Source organism: Homo sapiens, chromosome 5 (assembly GCF_000001405.40).
Source record: "Homo sapiens chromosome 5, GRCh38.p14 Primary Assembly".
In the NCBI taxonomy this organism is placed as follows: Eukaryota; Metazoa; Chordata; class Mammalia; order Primates; family Hominidae; genus Homo; species Homo sapiens.
In genome coordinates this window covers 15,125,049-15,134,208 of record NC_000005.10, presented here as the reverse complement: position 1 = coordinate 15,134,208, position 9,160 = coordinate 15,125,049, and the positions used below count along the sequence as shown (strand labels likewise).

General features: G+C 40.0%; 1 annotated feature.

The window, feature by feature from the left end:
- Positions 1,480-1,981: an enhancer, noted in NCBI's record as "H3K4me1 hESC enhancer chr5:15132337-15132838 (GRCh37/hg19 assembly coordinates)". NCBI's record gives its function as "activates a minimal SCP1, AML or CMV promoter by ChIP-STARR-seq in naive H9 embryonic stem cells {active_cell/tissue: H9 hESC(naive)}" and the evidence as "EXISTENCE:reporter gene assay evidence [ECO:0000049][PMID:30033119]".

Genomic DNA, 9,160 nt, shown 5'->3' with positions numbered 1-9,160 from the left:
CTCCCCCTGTCAGAGACCACCCTCAGGCAAAGAGATGCACAGAGCCGTCAGAGTGTGCAGGTTTTGCTGGCAGATGACTCTGGAATGGCTTTAGGCATATGTATGGATCACCAGGCATCGGCTACAGTTGCATACAAAATAGAAGGGAGGGAGAAATCATGACACAAAGAAGATTAGAAAATAAAGCCTATTGGACAAAGAAGAAGTGAGGAGAGAAAGAAAGAAAGTAAGCAACCATCTCAGAAAATAATCCTAGGCAAAGTATAACACACTGCCTAGTCAAAACAACAAGGACTATCTCAAGACCAAAAAAAGAAAAATGATTGGCAAATATCTGCATTACACATTTTTGCTGCTGGGAAACCCAATCTTGCACCCGCACACCCCAGCCTGTTCCTCTCTCAAATGGAAAGTTGACCTCACTTAGACCTAGCCCCTGGCCATGGTTTACTACTTTTTTTTTTTTAACAGTATTACAAATTGGATAGGGATCCCAGGGCAGACCTTATTGCATGGAAGAGAAGGCAGCAGATGAAGTACAATGATGTCAAAAGTTCTAGAAAAACTACACAGTCCTCCCAACTCCTCTTCCTCCCTGGGGCCTGCCTCATAGCCTAGGAAAAGATTAAACTCTCGCCAAACTTCCTGTCAGAGTTTTTGATCGCTGAAATAATTTTAACAGGAGACAAAGCCTTCTCTTCCATGGTTCTGTCATTAGAGCTGAAGCTAGGAATCTAAATAATCTTGGAGAAAAAACAATATTTCAGTGTTTTCCTGGTTGTGTATAATTGTCTCAAAAATTTTTCTGATTGTGAAGAGGCTTCTCAAAGCCATGCATGAGTGTTTTTTGGAATTGGTCCAAATGATTTGAAATATCAAGTTTCAATGTTCTTATCACATATTCCTTTAAAAAATACAGTTGAGTCTCAGCCACAGTGGCCAAGAAGTGCACCCAGGAGGAACATCTGAGACTGGGAGACTGGGATGTCAGGAAGACTGGCACACTTTCAGCAGACCTTCAGAGGAAAGGCATTCAGAGTGGACAGAGTGAGGACACATGCGGGCTGAAGGGGAAAAAAGCTGGATGCCCTGCACAGGTCTGCTGATCACTGGGACTCATTCCTAGCCCCCAGCGACTCCTGGGGAAGGGGTGGGTTGAACAGGTAAGGAGCAGCCCACTCCCACCATGGACCTCCAGACTCCAGGCAGCAGAAAACCCCATGACCCCCATGGACACTTGAGCTGGCAGGGAGAGCTGCTTAGAGAGGGGGTAGGAGCAGGACTCCAGCCTGTGTGGAGCCTGCGGAGTTTGGTGTGGGAGCAGCTGCAGTGGAGCTGGCCAGGGACACCCATCCCCCAAGGCTCGTCATGGTCCTCTAGGCGACTTTGGCCACAGAGTAACTGTCAGACCTGGACAGAGCAGGGTGGTCTTGTCTTTGAGATGCGGCAAGTCCACCCTGAGTTCTCTCCTGTCTGTTGGCCTCTGCTGGGGCCCCAGCTTGGCCTCACCTGACGGCAGTGCAGCCTCAGATGTTCAACCAGGGTGCTTCCAGGAACCCTCATCATAGCTCCTTTGTCGGCAGACCTTGCCTGACTATCAGAGAGCTCCAGTAGAGCGACCCCTGCTGATGCACACCAGCCCACACAGTCTCTTTTCATCACAGCTTCCCCTGTGCCACTTTTCTGGCGTTCACTTGCCCACAGCCTTTCCCCTATCCCCAACTGCTTTGCTGGTGTGTGCACACGGGTGAGCCTCACACTCCCTCTCCTCCCAGTGCTGTGTGTGCAGACCCTGCTGCTGCTGCCGATATGAGCGCAACCCACCACCCCCACCCCCAGCTAACATGTGGGCACTCAACCACACCACCATTGCTGGTGCAAATATACAAACAAACACCAGCAATCTTGCCCCACCCATGCTGATACCACAACTGTTGTGAATGCACCAATAAATACCGATGGCTTCACACCCCCATGCCAAGACCACTGCTGGTGCAAACACACACAGACACTGGCAACCCCACCCCCCCCGCACCACCACTGCCGACAGTACGAACACATGCAGGCAACCCCACTTCTGCCCCACTGCCAGTGGAAGCACATGCAGGAATGCTGCAGCCCTGCTTCTGCCAGCTAGCACGCATGCACCCCACCACTGCCATGGCTACTGGCATGTGTAAGTGAGCATGGATCATGCTGCCACCACCCCAATGAAGTGCTTTGGCCAACATCACCCTTCAAAGTGTGGTGGCCAGTGGACTGGGCACACTTTGGTCCCTCTGGAACAGCAGGTTCCTAACTTTGAGGGGCCAGAGAACAAAGCTGGAGACCCAGTACCAGCCTCCCAGAGTAAGAACATGCAGACAGGGAGCACTGAGCTGAGCCTCAGCCACCTAAAATCTTCCAGAAACAAACCCAGTCAACTGAACCCACCTTATACCACAATCAAACTGCCAAAGAATTCAAAGAAGATAAAAGGAAAGAAACTCATCCACAGGACAGCAGCTTCAAAGATTGAAGGAACATCATCCCACACAGATGAGAAAGAACCAGCACAAGGACTCTGGCAATTCAAAGACCCAGAGTGTCTTTTTATGTCCAAATGACAATAGTATCCCAGCAATGGTTCTTAACCAAGCTGAAATGGCTGAAATGACAGAAATTGAATTCAGAATATGGATAGGAATGAAGATCATTGACATCTGGTAGAAAGTTGAAACCCAATCCAAGGAATCTAAGGAATAAAATAAAGTTACATAGGAGATAAAAGACAAAATGGCCATTTAAAGAAAGAGCCAAACTCATCTGATAGAGCTAAGAAACTCACTTCAAGAATTTCAAATGTCAACTGCAAGTATTAACAGCAAAATTAACCAAGCTAAAGGAAGACTCACAGAGCTCAAAGACTAGTTCTCTAAAATACCACAGTCGAGCAAAACTAAGAAAAAATAATAAAGAAGAATGAACAAAATCTCCAAGAAATATGGGATTATGTAAAGAGACTAAATCTATGACTCATTGGCATCCCTGAAAGGGAGAGAAAAAGCAAGCAACTTAGAAAACATATTTGAGAATATCATCCATGAAATTTTTTTCAAGCTCACTATATAAGAAACATTCAAATCCGTGAAATGCAGAGAACCCCTGCAAGATACTACACAAGATGACCATTCCTAAGAAACATAGTCATTAGATTCTCCAAGGTAAAAATGAAAGAAAAACTGTTAAAAGCAGCCAGAGAAAAGGGGCAGGTCACCTACAAAGGGAACTGCATTAGGCTAACATTGAACCCTTCAGCAGAAATCCTATAAGCCAGAAGAGATTCGGGCCTATATTCAGCATTCTGAAAGAAAAGAAATTCCAACAAAGAATTTCATATCCAGAAAAACTAAGCTTCATAAGTAAAGGAGAAGCAAGATCCTTTTCAGACAAGTAAATGCTAAGGGAATTCATTACCATCAGACTTGCCTTATGAGAGGTCCTTAAAAGAGTGCTAAATATGGAAAAGAAAGACCATTATCAGGGACCACAAAAACACACTTAAGTATGTAGATCACTGACACTATAAAGCAAAAACACAATCAAGTCTGCATAGTAATCAACTTACAATATAAGGACAGAACCAAATTCACACATATCAATATTAACCTTGAATGTAAATGGGCTAAATGCCCCAACTAAAAGGCACAGGGTGGCAAGCTGGATGTAGAAGCAAGAGGAAGACACAACTGTATGCTGTCTTCAAGAGACCCATCTCACATGCAATGACAGCCATAGAGTCAAAGTAAAGCGATGGAGAAAAATCTATCAAGAAAATGGAAAACAGAAAAAGGAAAAGGTTGCTGTTCTAATTTCACACAAAAAAACCTTAAGCCACTAATGATCAAAAAAGACAAGGGCATTACATAATGGTAAAGGGTTTGATTCAACAAGAGGATCTAACTATCCTAAATATATATGCACCCAAAACAAGGGCACCCAGATGCATAAAGGAAGTTCTTAGAGACCTATGAAGAGACTGAGATAGCCACACAATAATAGTAGGGACTTCAATACCTCAGTGACTATAAGACAGATCATCATGGCAGAAAACAAATATTTTTGGACCTGAACTTGACCCTTGACCCAATGGGCCTAAAAGACATCTACAGAACTCTCCACCCAAAAGAAATATCATATATATTCTTCTCATATGCACATGGCACATACTCTAAAATCAACCATACAATCAGCCATAAAACAATCCTCAGCAAATTTTAAAAACCTGAAATTATACCAAACATTCTCAGATCACAGGCAAGAAAAATAGAAATCAATACTAAGAAGATCACTCAAAACCATAAAATTACATGGAAATTTTAAAACTTGCTCCTAAATAACTTTTGGATAAGCAATGAAATTAAGGTAGAAATTAAGAAATTCCTTGAAACTAATGAAAACAAAGATACAACATATCAGAATATCTGGGACACAGCTAAGGCAGTGTTAAGAGGCAAGTTTATAGCACTAACATTCACATCAAAAAGTTAGAAAGATTTCAAATTAACAACCTAACATCACACCTAGAGGAGCTAGAGAAACAAGAGCAAAGTAACCCCAAATGTAGCAGAAGATTAAAAATAACCAAAATCAGAACTGCACTAAAGGAAATTGAGATACAAAAAAAAAAAAAAAATACAAATCAACAATTCCAGGAGTGGATTCCTTAAAATGATAAATAAGACAGATAGACTGCTAGCTAGACTAAAAATATAGAAAAAAAAGACAGAGAAGATCCAAATAAACAGAACTAGAAATGACAAAGGGGACATTACCACTGTCCCTTCAGAAATACAAAAAACCCTTAGAGACTGCTATGAACACCTCTACGTACACAAATTAGAAGAAAGGGATAAATTCCTAGGCACATGCAACCCCTCAAGATTGCACCAGAAAGAAATTGAATCCCTGAACAGACCAATAACAAGTTCTGAAATTGAGTCAATAATAAAAAGCCTACCAACCAGAAGAAAACCATGACCAGAAGAATTCATAGCTGAATTCTACTAAATGTATAAAGAAGAGCTGGTACCATTTCTACTGAAACTATTCCAAAAAATTGAAGAGGAGGGGCTCCTATGTAAATTATTCTATGAGGCCAGCATCATCCTGATACCAAAACCTGGTAGAGACACAGCAAAAAAAGAAAACTTCAAGTTAATATCTTTGATGAACATAGATGCACAAATCCGCGATAAAATGCTAGCAAACTGAATTCAGCAGCACATCAAAAAGCTAATCCACCACAATTAAGTAGACTTTATCCTTGGAATACAAGATTGGTTCAGTATACACAAATCAATAAATCTGATTTGACACATAAACAGAACTAAAAACAAAAACCACATGATTATCTCAATAGATGCAGAAAACACTTTTGATAAAATTCAACTTCCCTTCATATTAAAAACTCTCAACAAACTAGGCACTGATGGAACATACCTCAAAATAATAAGAACCATCTATGACAAATTCACAGCCAACATCATACTGAATGGGCAAAAGCTGGGAGAATTTCCCTTGAGAGCTGGAACAAGACAAGGATGCCCACTGTCACTACTCTTATTCAACATAGCACTGAAAATGCTGGCCAGATCAATCAGGCAAGAGGAAGAAATAAAAGGCAACCAAATAGGAAGAGAAGAAGTCAAACTATCTCTACTTGCAGATGATACTATTCTATACCTAGAATACCCCATAGTTTCTCTGGGCCCAAAAGCTCCTAGATCTGATAAACAGGTTCACCAAAGTTTCGGAATACAAAATCAATGTACAAAAATCAGTTGCATTTCTATACACCAATAATGTCCAAGCTGAGCGCCAAATCAAGAATGCAATCTTATTCATAATAGCCACAAAAAGAATAAGATACCTAGGAATACGGCTTACCAGGCAGGTGAAAGATCTCTACAACACTGTTAAAAAAAAAATCAGAGATGACACAAACAAATGTAAAAACATTCCATGCTCATGGATAGGAAGAATCAATATTGTTAAAATGGCCATACTGCCCAAAGCAATGTACAGATTCAAATTACCTATCAAATTACCAATAATGTTCTTCACAAAATTAGAAAAAACTATTTTAAAATTCATATGGAACCAAAAAAGAGCCTGAATAGCAAAGGCAGTCCTAAGTAAAAAGAATAAACCTGGAGGCATCACATTACCCAACTTTGAGCTATACTGCAAGGCAACAATAACCAAAACAGCATGGTACTGGTACAAAAACAGACACATAGACCAATGGAAAAGAAAATAAAGCCCAGAAATAATGCCACACACCTAGAACTATCTGAACTTCAACAATGTTGACAAAAACAAGCAATAGGGAAAGGACTACCTATCAATAAATGATGATTGGATAACAGGATAACCATATGAAGAAGACTGAAACTAGACTCCTTTATTATACCATACACAAAAATCAACTAAAGATGGACTAAGGAGTTAAATGTAAAACCCAAAACTATAAAAAAAAAATCTAGAATATAACTTAGGAAATATCATTCTGGACATAGGCCCTGGCAAAGATTTCATGATGAAGATGCCAAAAGCAATTGTAACAAAAACAAATATTGATAAGTGGTACCTAATTAAAGAGCTTCTGCAGAGCAAAAGAAACTATCAATAAAGTAAACAGACAACCTAAGGAATGGGAGAAAATATTTGCAAACTATGCTTCTGACCAAGCTCTAATATCCAGAATCTATAAGGAACTTAAAACAAATTTACAAGAAACAAACAAACAGTCGGATTTAAAAAAATGGGCAAAGGACATGAACACACTTTTCGAAAGAAGACATACATTCAGTCAACAAGCATATGAAAAAATGTTCAACATCACTAATCATTAGAGAAATTCAAATTAAAACCACAATGAGATAGCATCTCATACCAGTCAGAATGACTATTATTAAGAAGTCAAAAAATAACGGATCCTAGCAAGGTTGTCAAGAAAAGAGAAGGTTTATACGCTGCTGAGCAAAACGTAAATTAGTTCAGCCACTGTGGAAAGCAATGTGGCAATTTCTCAAACAACTCAAAATTACCAAGCAGCCCCATTTTGGGGTATATGCCCAAAGAAACATAAATTATTCTACCATAAAGACACATACACATGTATGCTCATCACAGCACTATTCACAATAGCAAAGACATATTCACTCATCACAGCACTATTCACAATAGCAAAGAACTAACCTAGATACCCATCAACAGAAGGCTGAATAAAGAAAATACGGTACATATATACCATGGAATACTACACAGCCATAGAAGAAACAAGAATGTATCCTTTGCAGCAACATAGATGGAGCTAGAGGCCATTATCCTAATGCAGGAACAGAAAACCAAATTCTGCATGCTCTTGCTTATAAGTGGGAGCTAAACATTGAATACCATGGATGTAAAGAAGGGAACAATAGACACCAGGGCCTACTTGATGGTGGGGGGTGGGAGGAGAGGAAGGATCAAAAAGCTACCTATCAGGTACTATGCTTATTACCTGAGAGATGAAGTAATCTATACACCAAACTCCCAAGACATGCAATTTACATATGTAACAAACCTGCACATGTACACTTGAACCTAAAATAAAAGTTAGAAAATAAATACGTGCAGAATACAAAAAAAATTCTGAGAGATTTATCTTAACAAAAGTAAGGGAATTATTATCCATTCTGGGTAAGCAGAAGGGGATATGGTATAGAAAGTAGGTTGTAGGGCCAAAAAGTATAAATGAAAGACTGCCTGCCAGATAAAACCTTAGGCATGTGGTCAAGGTTAGCTTCACCAATTATAATTCAAGTCAATGTCAGTTACTGCCATTTGCACACAATGACAAGGGCACGTCACCTCTGTAGTATTATTCTCAAAAATGTATAACCCGCATCTAAGCATGAGAAAGGCATCAGACACACCCAAGTTGAGGGACATTCTACAAAATCCCTGAACTCACAGGGCCATGAAAAACAAGGAAAAACCCAGAAACTACCACAGGTCAGAGGAGGCTAAGGAGGGATGACAACTAAATGCAATGGGGTATCCGGGATGGTATCCTGGAAGAGAAAAGAGACATGCGTCGAAAAACTGGTGAAATCCAAATAAAATAGTTTGGTTACAGTAATATCTTAGTCCATTTTCTGTTGCTTATTACAGAATACCTTAAACTGCATTACTTGTAAGGAAAAAGAATTTATTTCTTACTACAGAGGCTGAGAAGTCTAAGGTGGAGAGGCCATATCTGATGTGGGCCTTCTTACTGGTGGGGACTCTCTGCAGGGTCCCAAGGTGTCACAGGACATGACATGGTGAGGGGGACGTGCATGTTAGCTCAGGTCTCTCTTCCTCTTCTTGCAAAACTACCAGTCCCATGCTGGTAGTAACCCATAAGCCCACTAATTCATTCATTCATACATGGATTAATCCATTCATGAGGGCAGAGTCCTCATGACTCAATCACTTCTTAAAGGCCCCACCTCTCAATACTACCATATTGAGGATTAAGTTTCAACGTGAGTTTTAGAAGAGATAAACATTCAAATCATAGCAAGTAAATAGACCAATGTCAATTTCCTAGATGTGATCACTAGACCACAATTATGTCACATGTTAATAGGAGAAACTGGGTAAATAGTACATGAGAAAGTTCTGCCACTGTTCTGTAGATATAAAATTATTCCAAAATTTAAAGCTTAAAAAAAAAAGCTGCATTACCAAAGACCAGCTGCATAATGTTGCTTCTGGCTAGCCCTGCAGTAAGAGGAGAGTGAGAGAAACAAAGTGAACATTATGATACTTAAATAGTAGAGACACAGAGTTGGGTAAGTGGGTGTCTAACAAAGAAATGTAAGAATGGAAGAAAAAGTCCTTGAGGTTTGTTTATCTTAAACGTCTTCAACTATTAAAAACTTCAATTGAAGATAAAAGTTTCATTTGCCAGAAAAAGAAGAAGAAGTTAATATATCAAAATATGTTTAACTTGACAAATTGTAATATAAATAGTTGCATTCAGAAGAGTGATGGGGAAATTAACTGTGCTCTATGTGCCTGAGCCAAACAGAATGGTCTAAAATCCAGTGGTAACAGATGGCGTGCAGAAATTAAGTCCAGCCCAAAG